The sequence below is a fragment of the Homo sapiens genome, chromosome 16 (genome assembly GCF_000001405.40).
Source record: "Homo sapiens chromosome 16, GRCh38.p14 Primary Assembly".
Taxonomy (NCBI): Eukaryota; Metazoa; Chordata; class Mammalia; order Primates; family Hominidae; genus Homo; species Homo sapiens.
Genome location: NC_000016.10, coordinates 16,339,154 through 16,355,003, shown reverse-complemented (window position 1 = coordinate 16,355,003; position 15,850 = coordinate 16,339,154). Strand labels below are relative to the sequence as shown.

General features: G+C 46.9%; 1 protein-coding gene and 1 pseudogene across 4 annotated transcripts in view; both read right to left on the bottom strand.

Moving 5' to 3' along the window:
• Positions 1-4,395: 4,395 nt before the first annotated feature.
• The window catches only part of LOC131696449 (PKD1P1-NPIPA5L readthrough), a 40,475-nt pseudogene continuing 29,020 nt past the window's right edge, over positions 4,396-15,850 (bottom strand). For 2 of the 3 annotated variants that reach the window (NR_172901.1, NR_172900.1), the window contains 7 exons: positions 14,570-14,698; positions 10,860-10,959; positions 10,552-10,696; positions 7,494-7,601; positions 6,417-6,477; positions 6,272-6,307; positions 4,396-4,912 (listed from right to left, as the gene is read on the bottom strand). The product of NR_172901.1 is annotated as a PKD1P1-NPIPA5L readthrough, transcript variant 3 (long non-coding RNA). The remainder of the gene's footprint in view (positions 4,913-6,271; positions 6,308-6,416; positions 6,478-7,493; positions 7,602-10,551; positions 10,697-10,859; positions 10,960-14,569; positions 14,699-15,850) is intronic. The other variant, NR_036447.2, reaches the window with a different exon arrangement.
• NPIPA6 (nuclear pore complex interacting protein family, member A6) overlaps positions 4,396-15,850 on the bottom strand; it is an 18,732-nt gene continuing 7,277 nt past the window's right edge. The window contains exons 4-10 of the mRNA NM_001423836.2: positions 14,570-14,698; positions 10,860-10,959; positions 10,552-10,696; positions 7,494-7,601; positions 6,417-6,477; positions 6,272-6,307; positions 4,396-4,912 (exon numbers count right to left, since the gene is read on the bottom strand). Of these exons, the coding sequence (NP_001410765.1) occupies positions 4,445-4,912; positions 6,272-6,307; positions 6,417-6,477; positions 7,494-7,601; positions 10,552-10,696; positions 10,860-10,959; positions 14,570-14,698 (1,047 nt within the window). The 3' untranslated portion in view covers positions 4,396-4,444. The remainder of the gene's footprint in view (positions 4,913-6,271; positions 6,308-6,416; positions 6,478-7,493; positions 7,602-10,551; positions 10,697-10,859; positions 10,960-14,569; positions 14,699-15,850) is intronic.

Here is a 15,850-nt window from a genome sequence, read left to right as displayed (position 1 = left end):
GGGCTGAGGAGGAAGGATCGCTTGAGCCAGGGAGGTCGAGGCTGCAGTGAGCTATGATTGTGCCACTGCAGTCCAGCCTGGGCGACAGAGCAAGACCCGGTCTCGAAAGAAAAGAAAGAGAAAGCAAGAAAAGAAAGATGGCTGGGCACGGTGGCTCACTCCTGTAATCCCAGCACTTTGGGAGGCCGAGGCCGGCAGATCACTTGAGGTCAGGAGTTCAAGACCAGCCTGGCCAATATGGTGAAACCCCATCTCTACTAAAAATGCAAAAATTAGCTGTGTGTGGTGGCAGGCGTCTGTAATCTCAGCTACTCGGGAGACTGAGGCAGGAGAATTGCTTGAACCCGGGAGGCGGAGTTTGCAGTGAGTTGAGATTGCACCGCTGTATTCCAACCTGGACAACAGTGCCAAACCCTGTCTCAAAAGAAAAAAATAATAATAATATAAAGTGACCAGGTGTGTTGACTCATGCCTGTAATCCCACCACTTTGGGTCGAGGCAGGAGAATCACTGGAGCCCAGGAGTTTGAAACGAGCCTAGGCAACAGAGTGAGACCCTGTCTCTATATTAAACACACACACACACGCGCGTGCACACACACACGCGCGTGCACACACACACACACACACATACAAAGGCAGCCAGACTATGCACTAGGAACTGCCCTGGGAATCCCTTTGTGTTCTCACAACAATCCCATTTCACATGAAGAAACCTAGGCACAGAAATATTCAGTAACGTGTCCAGGTGCGGTGGCTCACGCCTGTAATCCCAGTACTTTGGGAGGCTGAGGCAGGCAGATCACGAGGTCAGGAGTTCGAGACCATCCTGGCCAACATGGTGAAACCCCGTCTCTACTAAAAATACAAAAATTAGCTGTGTGTGGTGGCAGGTGCCTGTAATTCCAGCTACTCAGGAAGCTGAGGCAGGAGAATTGCTTGAACCCGGGAGGCAGAGGTTGCAATGAGCCGAGATCACACCACTGCACTCCAACCTGGGTGACAGAGCAAAACTCCGTCTGAAAAAAAAAAAAAGAAATATTAAGTAACTTGTCTGAGGCCACATAGTTACCAAGACGTGGGAGCTGGGACTTGAACCCAGGCAGTCTGGCTGGATTCATGCCTGCAGCCTCTGCACTCCTGCTACTTACTGTGTGAGAAGCGTCTGTTCTGTGGAAGGTTGTGGGCTGAGATCTTTCCATGACTTCCACTCATTTACCCCCAAGGCTGTTCTTAAAGACGGGCATGACAGTTATGCCCATTTTACAGATGGGGCCCTGAGGCTCACAAGGGCACGCCATTCACCCATTTCCACAAAGCTATAGTTAGTTAGCAGAGGGCAGAATTCGGCCGCCTCTCCCCTAGCTTGAAGGCTGTGATTGACACAGAGGTTTTTTTGTTGTCGTTGCTGTTGTTTGTTCCTTTTTCTTTTTTTTGAGACAGGGTCTTGTTCTGTCATCCCGGCTGGAGCGCAGTGGTGCGATGTCAGCTCACTGCAAACTCTGCCTCCAAGATGCAAATGATTCTCGTGCCTCAGCCTCCCAAGTAGCTAGAATTACAGGTGTGCACTACCACGCCCAGCTGATTTTTGTAGAGATGGGGTTAGTAGAGATTTGTTTAATAGAGACGGGGTTTCACCATGGTCTCTACTAAACCCTGTCTCTACTAAAAATACAAAAATTACCCAGGCGTGGTGGCACATGCCTGTAGTCGCAGCTACTCAAGAGGCTGAGGCAGGAGAATCACTTGAACCTGGGAGGTGGAGGTTGCAGTGACCCAAAATCATGCACTCTAGCCTGGGGTCTCGCTTTTGCCCAGGTTAGAGTGCAGTGGCACAATCATAGTGGCTCACTGCAGCCTCAAACTCCTGGGCTGAAGGGAATCCTCCCACCTCAGCCTCCCAAGTAGCTAGGACTATAGGCATGTGCCATCATGGCGAGTTAATTTTTTGTGTGTTTTTATTGTCTCGAGACAGAGTCTTGCTCTGTTGCTCAGGCTGGACTGCAATGGCGTGATCCTGGCTCACCGCAACCTCCACCTCCTGGGTTCAAGCAATTCTCCTACCTCAGCCTCCCGAGTAGCTGGGATTACAGGTGCGTGCCACCATGCCTGGCTAATCTTGTATTTTTAGTAGAGACAGGGTTTCGCCATGTTGGTCAGGCTGCTCTCGAACTCCTGACCTCGTGATCCACCTGCCTCGGCCTCTCAAAGTGTTGGGATTACAGGCATGAGCCACTGAGCCTGGCCTGGTGAGGTAATTTTTAAATTTGTTATAGAGACAAGAGTCTCTCTTATGTTGCCCAGGCTGGTCTCGACCCCCTGGCCTCAAGTGATCCTCCCACCTCAGCCTCCCAAAGTGCTGGGATTACAGATGGGTGTCACCGCACCTGGCCTCTGAGGAGGATTTCATTATAAACCTGCCCTGAAGGGAGGGAATCCAATTTTACGAGAGGGTGTAGCCTGGTGAGGCCTGGATGACCTCCGGAGGCAGGGGCTTGTGCCTGGGCTGAGGCCTAAGGGACAATGGGCAGACATGAAGTTGCCCCAGGCAGAGGGTACAGTGTGGGCAAAGTCAGGAAGTGGCAGGGCTTGGATCACTCCAGGAAGAGAGAGGAGTCATGTGTCACAGGAGCTCAAGACCCAGAGAGGGAGGCAGGCAGGCAGGCAGGGACCAAGCTTGGGCACAGCCAGGAAGGCAGAGGGCATGGTGGGGCCAATGGAATCATTACCCAAGACGGGGATTTTCAGGGAAACAGCTTAGATAAGGCCAGGTGTACAGTAGCTCCCACCTGTAATCCCAGCATTTGGGGAGGCTGAGGTAGGAGGACTGCTTGAGCCTGGGAGTTCGAGACCAGCCTAGGCAACATAGTAAGACCCCATATCCATAAAAAATTTAAAAAAGGAGTTTGTGTTCCTGTAGTAGCAGACTTGGGAGGTTGAGGTGGCAGTATCACTTGAGCCCAGGAGTTCAAGGCTAAAGTGAGCTGATTGAGCCACTGCACTCCAGCCTGAGCAACAGAGAGATACGCTGTCTCAAAGGAAATACAAATTAAAAAACCAGCCGGGCATGCTGGCGTGTGCCTGTAGTCTCAGCTACTTGGGACACTGAAGTGGGAGGATCGCTTGAGCCCAGGAGTTCAAGGCTGCCGTGAGCTATGATTGTGCCTCTGCAGTCCAGCCTGGGCGACAGAGAAAGACCCTGTCTCTTAAAAAAAAAAAAAAAAAAAAAATCTTAGATAAGAGGATGCTGTGCCTCCCTGGGGGTCTTCAGTCACCCATAGTCCTGGCAAGAGAGGAGGGCCAGGAGAGAGCTTCACCCACCTGCTGTCCTGCCCATGTGACATCCGCAGGTGCTGCCATGGCCACGACTGTTGTTACACTCGAGCTGAGGAGGCCGGCTGCAGCCCCAAGACAGAGCGCTACTCCTGGCAGTGCGTCAATCAGAGCGTCCTGTGCGGTGAGTCCCCAGCAGCACCATGCCACCCACCCCGAGTATCCCCTGGGCACCCTGGCATAGCCAGATGACTTCCGTGCCCCTGTTGCAATAACCACTGCTTCAAAGTCTCTATAGACCACCCCTTGGGTATATCTAATGTAAGTGATATTTATTTTATTTATTTTTTGAGTCAGTCTCGCTCTGTCACCCAGGCTAGAGTGTGCTGATGTGATCTCGGCTCACTACAACCTCTGCCTCCTGGGTTCAAGCGATTCTCATGCCTCAGCCTCCCAAGTGGCTGGGACTACAGGCATGCACCATCACGCCCAGCTAATTTTTGTATTTTTTCAGTAGAGGTGGGGTTTCACCAAGTTGGCCAGGCTGGTCTCAAACTCCCCACCTCAAGTGCTCTGCCCGCCTCGGCCTCCCAAAGTGCTGGGATTACAGGCATGAGCCGTGGTGTCTGGCCCTAATGTGAGTGATCTTTAACACTGAGCACTTGAAAAAGAAAACCCTGAAGAAACCTAATTCTTTGATGTCTGGATGACAAGGAAGAAGATAGAAATGGCATCAGATAATAAACAGTGTAAATGTTTATCAGAAAGAGGCTGGTGGTCGGGACAAGTAGGAGGATTGCTTGAGTCCAGGAGTGCATCTCTACAAAAAAGTTAAAGGATTTTTTAACATTGGCCAGGCGTGGTGGCACACATCTGTGATCCCAGCTACTTGGGAGGCTGGGGCAGGAGGATTGCTTGAAGCCCAGGAGGTTGAGGCTGCAGTGAGCTGTGATCGAGCCACTGCACTCCAGCCTGGGTGACAGAGCAAACTCCAGTCTCAAAAAAAAAACAAATAATAATATTTTACATAACCAACCACTTCTAAAGATTAAAAAAACCCCTACGATTAAAAACCTCAGGTCCCTCAGGCAATCATACCAGATATTGAAACAAAGCAATAACATAAGGACTGCAGTATTCATTTTATTTTTATATTATTTATTTATTCTTCCTTAGTTTCTTGAGATTATCATCCGCTGAGGGTGGAAGGGGAGTGAGCAGACACACTCAGGAGGTGTCTTGAGATTATCATCCGCTGAGGGTGGAGCTGAGGGTGGAAGGGGAGTGAGCAGACACTCGGGAGGTGTCTTGAGATTATCATCCGCTGAGGGTGGAAGGGGATAGAGCAGGCACTCGGCAGGTGTCTTGAGATTATCATCCGCTGAGGGTAGAGCTGAGGGTGGAAGGGGAGTGAGCAGACACTCGGGAGGTGTCTTGAGATTATCATCCGCTGAGGGTGGAAGGGGATAGAGCACACACTCGGAAGGTGTCTTGAGGCTCAGGGAGTTATCAATTATAGAATGTTGTTGAGTTGGAGGAGGTGGCTGGTGGCCCATCCTGTTTTTTAAAGTTTCAGCTGTGAGGTAGGGCCAGTAGGGCAATCCTGAAGAATGACGATGCTCCACTGCCGCCATTCTGACCTGTAGGGCCAAAGGAGGGAATGTTTTCACACATATTCATTTGATGGACAAAATTACCGCCACCAACACAGTCTGCACCTTCTGTTGCTGGTGATAGATTTTTGCACCTTTCCATCCTCCAGGTTTCAAAATAGCAGTGTCAGTGTCATAATATCACCCTTCCACTGAGTACTGCCGACAGCTAGGGGGTAAAGAAAAGTCATTGGGACACACTGTTGTCTCCACATGCCACTGTGTCTGTCTGCAAATGTAGGCAGGCTGGGGTCCTGCCCCAGGGAAGACAGAGTCATAACAGAGTAATAAAGAAGCATGTTTGAGACACAGGAGTGTCTATGTCTATCCTCATTCCTCCCTCACAGCCATCACCAGAGCATGTTTCTTGCACCAGGTCAATAGACAGTAAGAGACAGTAAGAGAGGCATGAAAAGCCCATTGTCCACACATGTTGCAGCTTCTTTTTGGAGAATGTTTTCCAGGCCTTTTATGTTCTGTCTCTGATTCTCAGAACTCTGCAAGGTCAGTGTGACCACCCTGCTCCAAATCTAAGAAAACAGAGGTTTCCAGAGGAAGGAGAAATTGTGCCCAGGGTCACACAGCTTGCAAGAGGCAGAGTGGAAGTTGATTCCAGCTCTGCCTGCAGGACCCTCTCATTTCCCCTCTGTTTCCCTTCTTGACAAAGGATCTTCTTCACTCTGGAGGTGCCACCCATGAGAACAAAGAGCTCTGGAGAGATGTGGATTCCTGAAGAGCTGCAGGGGAACTGGGAGAGGGTTTTCTGACAGAACAATCTTACCTCAAGAAGTCAGTTAGGCATGGCTGTAATATTTCTTTTCACTCCCAGGTAATACCAAATTGTAAGTGCACTAGGACATAAAGAATACTTTTGTCCATGGAAAAATGAGGTGGGAATTCTAAACAAAGCAAGTTTTAAAACTGTGTTTCACTTCAAGTGTACAAGTCCCATCGCGTGTAATCATAGGACTCGGCAGCTTTTGAAGGTACAGAGGCCACACAAGAACCAGCTTAGCTGAGCATCATTTAAGGCCCTCATTTGGAATTGTCCCTGTGGGTAATAAGTTACATTCACTCTTCACTAATTTACAGTCAGGGCCCATTTGCTATTACAAATACGGAACCTCTGATACTTAGAATATTAGATGGGGGCCCCACTGGGTGGGGATGAAGGTGTTTTTGCGCAACACAGTTACCAACAGGGATGGGACTGTGATGCTTGTAGGCAGCCTTCCTCTCTGCCATCTCCCTCTGCAGGGCTTGAGCACAGAGCCGTAGGGAGAAAAATGTATCCATGTCCTGACCTGGCAGACTATGTCCAAAAGCAAGGAAAACAAGCAAACTTACCCGGTTGCAAAGAGGCTTTCTTGCAGAAGGGGTGATCTGAAAAAGCCAACACATGAGAAATTGAATGTTGAGAGAGTCTAAGGGCCGTGGCATCATCTGCATCAGCACTGAACTATCCTGCAACTGCGGGGAGGAAGCTCCTTACTTTGCATCTGTAGTAGTCCTCTGCCCGCCGCCGCAACGCTTGCGCACGTTGAAACATTTCCCTATGGATTACAATCACTTTCATCAGATAAAGCACCACTTTCAGGATGATTTTAAATAATCTGCCATGTTTCTGTTATCCTCACAACTGTACCCTTACACAATCTATCTCTACCTAGAAAACGTATTTCAGATGGCTAGAAGAGTACAGTCTGAGCCGGTCACGGTGGCTGACGCCTGTAATCCCAGCACTCTGGGAGGGCGAGGCGGATGGATCACGAGGTCAGGAGATTGAGACCATCCTGGCTAATACAGTGAAACCCCGTCTCTACTAAAAATACAAAAAATTAGGCGGGGGTGGTGGCAGGCGCCTGTAATCCCAGCTACTCGGGAGGCTGAGGCAGGGGAATCACTTGAACCTGGGAGGCGGAGGTTGCAGTGAGCCAAGATCACGTCATTGCACTCCAGCCTGGGTGACACAGCGAGACTCCATCTCAGAAAAACAAAAACAAAAACAAAAACAAAAAAAACTGTACAGTCTGATCCAAACTGTTGCTATATTGATTCCTCCTCTTGCTTACTGCCTGCTGACTTCTGAGATGATAGTTTCCTTCCCCATTCTCAGTATATCCCTAATTCATCCTTCATTGAGCATCTTTTATCATAAAGCTGTATTCTCTTTGTATTAATATCTTTACCGTGTTTCACAGGGCAGAAACAGCTGGGCTTATAAACAGGCATAGTCCTTTTGAAGGATGTGGTTGATCCTACAACAACACACTTTCCTAAGGATGACAACAACTCACCCCACCCCTAGAATGGCTGGTATGAACCGAGTTTCCACACAGTCTAGCTGGCAATGGGGTCAGGAGCCGTTTTGCTACTTCACATCTTTTGGTCACTGGTAAATATTAAGGTACTTTGTTTTCTGTTTTGTGAACTCTCTCTCTCTCACGATATGTCTTCTGACCATTTGTTTCTATTTCTGCATTTACTGGGTCTAAACATTGTACAAAGGTTAAAAACAACACTCCAATGGGCGTTTCCCAAGAGGGTGGGGTTCAGTTTCTGAACTCACATGTAGGTGTGTATTTCTTTCATATCCAATTTCCCATTTTCCTCTGCCTCTGACACCTGCCTCTCCTTTTCTCCGTGCTCACGTTCTTTCATGCTTAGTTTCCTCAGACTAGAAGGGAGAGAAATGCACACACATGATCCACCAGCACGTGTGGGATTCCCTCTGCCCTTCTGGCATCTGAAGGCTGATTCAAAGATCCCCCCTGCAACCTTCCCACAAATGAACCAACTGATTCTCACAACCGAAGGAAGAATGGACACCTCCCATTGAGGGACAAAAAAAAATCACACTCTGGCCTGCTGGCAAGTCACCTGTCATTTCCAGCTCATCTTCATAGTTCCATAGTTAGTCCTATTCTTTAGTAAATATAAAGACTATTAAAAGCTTCTATGAGGTGCACTATGTGCGTCTCTGGGGTCAGTCTTGTGCTTGACACAGCGAAAGCTCATTTTAGTTCAGTGTGAAAAACCAGACCTCACCAATTCATCACAACTAACTCCATCGGAAGCAGAGGATTGCTCCTCATCTGACTCCTCCTGTGTGAGACCTGATTCTCAGTCAGAGGCTGATGCCGGAACTGAGACCATCAGCCATAGAGAGATCCTTCCAGAATATGGTGTCATTAACCCCGCAGTTCACTACTGCACTTTGCCATGATTCAGGACTGGAACTCTTGTCATCGACTTTAAAGATCCTGAAAAGGCAATCTGAATGCTGGGCGCATCTATTGAATTAGAAATGATCGGAATGGCTCCTAAGTCAGGATGTTATGTCCTGAAAATAGGTGACAACGGCAAACCATCCACCCTGGTGTTGACTGACTTTAACAAGGTTCAGTTCACAGAGATTGAGGGCAGAAAAAGGAAACGGCCTCAAAAGGGTAAGTTTGCTGTGTTGCCCTCACACCACTTGATTCATGGTCCTGATCCTAAGGATCTCACCTGATACTTGGTTTTATAGGAAGGATGTGTAAAATTCCCAGAACGCTAGGAAACAGGGACGAAATCACTTCAAAGAGAAAGTTAATGAACTTGTTTCTGACCACAGGGCATCCTTCAGCACATGCTGTCTGGAGTGGCCTCAAACAAGGTGTGTGTGGTGAGGTGCTGACAATGCAATGGGAGCAGGGTCCTGTCCCCACGCTAAAGAAGCTCACAGTTTAATGCAAATGAGAAGCCAGTGAGGACAGCACTACTCCTGCTGTGCACTTGGGAACTAGAAACACAAAACCTGACTCTGGAGGGAAGCTAAGGAAGCATTCTACTCTTGAGTTGACATAAGTGCATCTGAAGCTTCTGATCTCCGATGAGAACAATGGGGGACACCAAACAGAATATAAAACCCATGATTGAATACATCAAATTGCTAACATGGCAGTAAACAGACATGAGGTGAAGATGGAGAAGAAGGAAACCCAGGACGAAAGTCAGCCTCGCATTTGGAACCCATTTCCCTGAGTTTCATTGCTGAATTCCAGAAGGAACTACTGAGATGCAAAGAAGCACAGCAGCTTTTGCACACATGCGTGGGGTTAGATGGAAAACAAGTGGATTGAGGGTCTGCCAATGAAAGCGATCCATACTGAAGTCCACTGGCTCTGGTTGAGACCCAGAAGAGTCATGCATCAGAATAGAGGTGGACAGGAAATACCCTGGCCTTTGTAGGGACTGAGCCTGCAGAGACGACCTCAATTGCAGCCTGTACGGAGGACCCCTGACCATCCCCCAGAAGTAGACTCCCATCTCTTCTGCAGCAAGATAACATGCTACTAGGCCTCAATGCATTGTTAAATATTTTTTAAAAAGTATCTCACATTTAACAAAAAAAGATCAGTCATATGGCAGCAAAATACAATGTAGTATGACCAAAACATGAAAGACTGTGAAAATGAATTTGGAGGTGACCCAAGCATTGAATTCAACAATCCAGGCTGGGTGCGGTGGCTCACACTGGGAGGCTGAGGTAGGCAGATCACCTGAGGTCAGGAGTTCAAGACTAGCCTGGCCAACATGGTGAACCCGTCTCTACTAAAAATACAAAAATTGGGCTGGGCACGGTGGCTCACGCCTGTAATCCCAGCACATTGGGAGGCCGAGTTGTGCGGATCATGATGTCAGGAGTTCTAGACCAGCTTGGCCAATATGGTGAAACCCTGCCTCTACTAAAAATACAAAAATTATCTGGGCATGGTGGCATATGCCTGTAGTCCCAGCTACTCAAGAGGCTGAGGGATAAGAATCGTTTGAACCTGGGAGGCGGAGGTTGCAGTGAGCCAAGATCATGCCACTGCACTCTAGCCTGGGTGACAGAGTGAGACTCTGTCTCAAAAAAAAAAAAAAAAAAAAAAAATTGGCCGAATGTGGTGGCACACACCTGTAATCCAAGCTACTCGGGAAGCCAAGGCAGAATTGCTTCAAACTGGGAGGCAGAGGTTGCAGTGAGCCAAGATTGCACCATAGCACTCCAGCCTGGGCGACAGAGCGAGACTCTATCTCAAAATTAAAAAAAAAAAAAAAAAGCCTGGGTGTGGTGGCTCACACCTCTAATCCCAGCACTTTGGGAGGCTGAGGCGGGTGGATTACCTGAGGTCAGAAGTTCGAGACCAGTCTGGACAACATGGTGAAACCCCATCTCTAGTAAAAATACAAAAATTAGCTGGGCGTGGTGGTGGGCACCTGTAATCCCAGCTACTTGGGAGGCTGAGGCAGGAGAATTGCTTGAACCCAAAAGGCAGTGAGCTGAGATTGTGCCATTGCACTACGGCCTGGGCAACAAGAGCAAAGCTCCATTTCAGGAAAAAAAAAAAAAAAGAGAGAGAGAAAGGAAAACCAATGCCAGTACTAGCAACTCCTCTTCCCCTGAAAAAATGACAAACAAGAATGTAGGAAGGGAAAGGAATTATACAGCTTAAACTAATGAAGCAGAAAGGACAAGCTCAATTTTGAACCCACTGAATTTGCCACAAATATTGTAGAAAATATTCTCAAGGACTTTACAGTTGTCTACTTTGATTGGCACATGGTTCATACAACAGTATTTGTGTCAAGGCACATCTTACTGTTCTTTGGCGGTCTTCCTCTTTCCATTGATTTTGTCATGACGGTTGACTTTTGTTGTCACCTTCATCTTACGGATTTTAGCTCGAACTTTGGTTTCCACCTGTCTCCATAAAGTAAAGATGTCTTCCAGGACAATTTTAATTCCTGGAAAGGAAGAAACTCTTTTCTTTGTGTGCATACAAACGGACCTCAGCCCTTGGTGAGAGTGAGGAGAGGAGAAGGTGAGAAACCTGAGGGCAAGAAGCTGTTCTTTCCCTTTCCAGGGCAAACTCATTTCCACACTATGGGGACTCCAACAGAGCCATACCTTCCTGTCTACGGCAGTTGGACCTCCTGGCTCTCTGCTGTACATCCGTGGATCCATCATGTCCATTTTGAGACGGGAAGATAGTCTTCAGGAAAGACACCTAGGAAATAATAATATAAGAATGACGGCTGGGCACGGTGGCTCATGCGTATAATCCCAGTACTTTGGGAGGCCGAGGCAGGGTGGATCACGGGGTCAGGAGTTCAAGACCAGCCTGGCCAAGATGGTGAAACCCCATCTCTACTAAAAATACAAAAATTAGCCGGGCATGGCAGTGGGCGCCTGTAATCCGAGCTACTCGGGAGGCTGAGGCAGAGAACCGTTTGAAGCTGGGAGGTGGAGGTTGCAGTGAGCCGAGATCACACCACTGCACTCCAGCCTGAGTGACAGAATGAGACTCTGTCACACACACACACACACACACACACACAACACACAAGAATGACATGAGGCTGGCATGGTGGCTCACTCCTGTAATCCCAGCACTTTGGGAGGCCGAGGCAGGCGGATAACCTGAGGTCGGGAGTTTGAGACCAGCCTCACCAACATGGAGAAACGCTGTCTCTGCTAAAAATACAAAATTAGCCAGGCATGGTGGTGCATGCCTGTAATCCCAGCTAGTCGGGAGGCTGAGGCAGGAGAATCACTTGAACCCAGCAGGAAAAGGTTGTGTTGAGCTGAGATTGTGCCATTGCACTCCAACATGGGCAACAAAATTCAAACTCTGTCTCAAAAAAAAAAAAAAAAATATATAGGCCAGGTGCGGTAGCTCACGCCTGTAATCCCAGCACTTTGGGAGGCCGAGGCGGGTGAATCACAAGGTCAAGAGATGGAGACCATCCTGGGCAACATGGTGAAACCCCGTCTCTACTAAAAATACAAAAATTAGCTGAGCATGGTGGCGCACGCCTGTAGTCCCAGCTACTCGGGAGGCTGAGGCAGGAGAACTGCTTGAACCCAAGAGGCAGAGGTTGCAGTGAGCCAAGATCCCACCACTGCACTCCAGCCTGGTGACAGAGTGAGACTCCGTCTCAAAAAAAAAAAAAAAAAATGACATGAATATACTTCACACAACTGAACTGTACACTTCAACACGGTTAGATGGTAATTATCATCTTGTAAGTATTTTACCACAGGTTAACATGTTTCACAACTTGAAAAGGAAGTAATTAATTACCTTCAGCTCTCTGAGTTCTAGAATTTGTAACATTTCACCCCCTGCTCCTTCCTGATCTGCACTGGAGCATCTTTCTTCTGTCCCTGCTCTACTCAGAGTTCACTTTCCCTTCCCTCACATCAGCTTCGTTGAGGCTGGTTTGAACTTAACGCAAAACATTCTCACTAATGACTGAATTCCCACCAAGATTTCCATATTATCACAGTATGCTTTTAATCTTCGAAGATATTAAATATTTGTTCTCATCATAGCTAAAATGCAATGCAAATCCCATCTCAGATGTGGGTCAGATACCTATGAATCTCCTGAGGTAGTCATTGAAATGACTTTTTTCTTGAGACGGAGTGTCACTCAACCATGCTGAAGTGCAGTGGCACTACCTTGGCTCACGGCAACCTCCACCTCCCAGATTCAAGCGATTCTTGTGCCTCGGCCTCCCAAGTAGCTGGGATTACAGGTGCCTGCTACCATGCCTGGCTAATTTTTGTCTTTTTAGTAGAGATGGGGTTTCACTATGTTGGCCCATCTGGTCTTGAACTCCTGACCTCAAGTGATCCACCTGCCTCAGCCTCCCAAAGTGCTGGGATTACAGGCATGAGCCACCACACCTGGCCTGAAATAATATCTTTCAAATTCTTTGTAGAACTTGTTTTTTCCTGATTTCTGCACATAGGATTAAAAAAAAATCATGTACTAGGATTTCAAGAGAAGCAATGGGTAATCTAAAAAGATGAAAAGAGCAACCACGTCTATCCCACAGCTACTGCTAGATTTCATAGGAAAGGTAGCTGGCCCAGTTTGGAGCTAGGAGAAATGTCAAACACATGAAGAAATGAGAAGCAAAGAAATGCCATCACACATGAATGCTTCATGGCACCCATGATGTCCCTGCTTAGGAGGTAATGGTATAGATGACTAGATGACAAGGACAAAGATGAGAGGTGCAAAGTTGTCCAAGTCCAACAGCTCAACTGAACTTTCCTAAATGGAATTGTTAAAAAGTGGTAAATTTAAAAACTTCCCCTGGCTCACGTGGTGACTCACACTTGTAATCCCAGCACTTTGGGAGGCTGAGGCGGGTGGATCATTTGAGGTCGGGTTTTGAGACTAGCCTGGCCAACATGGTAAAACCCCGACTCTACTAAAAATACACAAATTAGCTGGGCATGGTGGTGGGCACCTGTAATCCCAGCTACTTGAGAGGCTGAGGCAGGGGAATCACTTGAAGCCAGGAGGTGGAGGTTGCAGTGAGCCGAGATCACACCATTATACTCCAGCCTGGGCAACAGAGGGAGACTCCTCTTGGGGGTGAGAAAAGAAAAAAAAAAAAGCTTCCTCCAATTTATACCGAAAATTCTCTGTTCAGGACTAAGTGGCATAGAGAATGTTAAATGTGCCTAGATATCTTCATAACTCATATATTTTCTGTTTTCTACATATCTTGAAAGGCAGTGCCAAATGACGTGTAATTATCTAGGCGGTAAAACTGAAACATACTTCCTCTTCCCTTGAATATAAAAAAGCATTGTGGTTTAGTACTTTTATCTTGGATCATTGTTCAGAAGGAGGTTCAGCCCCCACACAACCACATTTTTATTGTCATGAATGGCAAGACAAAATGTAGAGCTCAACTTACGCAAAGGATAAAAGGCTCAAAAGACAAATTATGGCACAACTTAGCAGCCAAATTCTTACCAAGTATAGACTTTTGACATACTGATCTCATTCCAGTTGCAAGTGGGAACATGCACTTTGAATGATGTCATTCAAAATTACCCTGCCCAGACACACTTTTCATTGATTCTCTTGGAGGGCAGTTCTAAGAGATTCTCTGGGGCTTTCTCTGCATCATGAGACGCAGTGCAGTTCTGCCCTTCACCTTCCGGCAGTTTGTCACCTCGTCCCTATGACCTCAGAGGAACTTTGTCTCAGGCCAACTGTTTGTTCCTTGGGCTCTTTCATTTCCCCTAAAAATCATTTGCTGCCCCTCTAAATGGCCTACATCTCCATCTATCTCCCTCTACCCTCAGAAGAGGGTGCTCTTTAAGCATCAACCATCCAGCCCTTCTAGCAGTCTCATTTTTCAGCTGGTTCCCATGTTTATGCCTGTTCTATGTTTTTCTTTTCCTGTTAAGCTGTCTGTTGTCAGCTCATTTCTGCAGTGAATCTTCAGAGAGGAGATTGGAAGCTTTCCTTCCACCCATACGATAGAACTATAAAGCAGAAGAGTTTAGAAAGACTTTCCCATTTAAGTGACGAAATCTCATACTCCATTTGTGACAAATAGCACAAAGGTTAAAAAAACTTATTTTTGACCAAAAGCTCTGTTGACATTCTATTAAACACCGACCTATTTAATTTTCATAATGTAAATGGCAGATATTTTCATAATTCTTATGCTAATAAATCATTTCCCTGATTTTTTGGGTAAAACCACATATTCATAATGAAGTCCAGAAACGTGAATTGTTTCATATAATTTATTCTTATTTGTGATTACAAGTATACCTCTACAGAAAGTTAGTATACTCACACAAAGGTAACTTGTGCAGAGGGAGATGGCAAATTTATAACTTCTCAGAAACACAGTAATGATAAGTAACCAAGGACTTCCACCAAAGTCAGTCCCACGATGACGATGGTCAGCCAGAGTATTGATAACCTGGAATAATAATAGTTGAAATAATGAAAAGGTCAATGACACTGACAATATTTCACTCAGAAAGAATCATCCTTAGAAACCGTCAACCTCCTCCAAAAGGTAACCACATCCCTCAGATATCACCGTGGGATTCCACTGCTACAAAAAAGAACAGAAGTTAGAGAAGTCTCATGTTTTTCAGATGGCTGGTAGTGTTTTTAGGCATTGCAAATGTGGGGTGTTGTCTTTCTTGGTATAAAGCAGGGATATCCAATCTTTTGACTTCCCTGCCTATATTAAAAGAAGCAAAGTTGTCTTGAGCCACACATAACATACACTAACACTAACAATAGCTGATGATCTAAAAAAAAAAATTTTTTTTTTTTTTTTTGAGACAGAGTTCCGCTCCACTCAGTCGCCCAGGCTGGAGTGCAGTGGTGCAATCTCGGCTCACTGCAACCTCCAGCTCCTGGGCTCAAGCCATTCTCCTGCCTCAGCCTCCCGAGCAGCTGAGATTACAGGTCTCTGCCACCATGCCCGACTAATTTTTGTATTTTTAGTAGAGATGAGGTTTCACCATGTTGGCCAGTCTGGCCTTGAACTCCTGACAGGCGATCTGCCTGCCTCGGCCTCCCAAAGTGCTGGGATTACAGGTGTGAGCCACCGTGCCAGGCCATTTTTTTTGTTTTTGTTTGTTGTTTGTTTTTGAGATGGGGTCTCACTCTGTCACCCAGGCTGGAGTGCAGTGGTGTGCTCTCGGCTCACTGCAACCTCTGCCTCTCAGGTTCAAGTGATTCTCCTGCCTCAGCCTCCTGAGTAGCTGGGAGTACAGGTGCCTGACAGTGCACTCAGCAAATTTTTGTATTTTTTGTGGAGATGGGGTTTTGTCATGTTGGCCAGGGTGGTCTCGAACTCCTGACCTCAGGTAATCTGCCCGCCTCAGCCTCCCAAAGTGCTGGGATTACAGGCATGAGCCACTGTACCTGGCCAAAATCTCCTAATGTTTTAAGAAAGTTTACAAATTTGTGTTGAACTGCATTCAAAACTGTCCTGGGCCACATGCAGCCCGTCACTCATGGGTAAGACAAGCTAAGTATAAAGTAATTATCTTATCTTTTATTTTTGTTTTGAGACAAAGTCTTGCTCTGTCACCCAGGCTAGATTGCAGTGGCA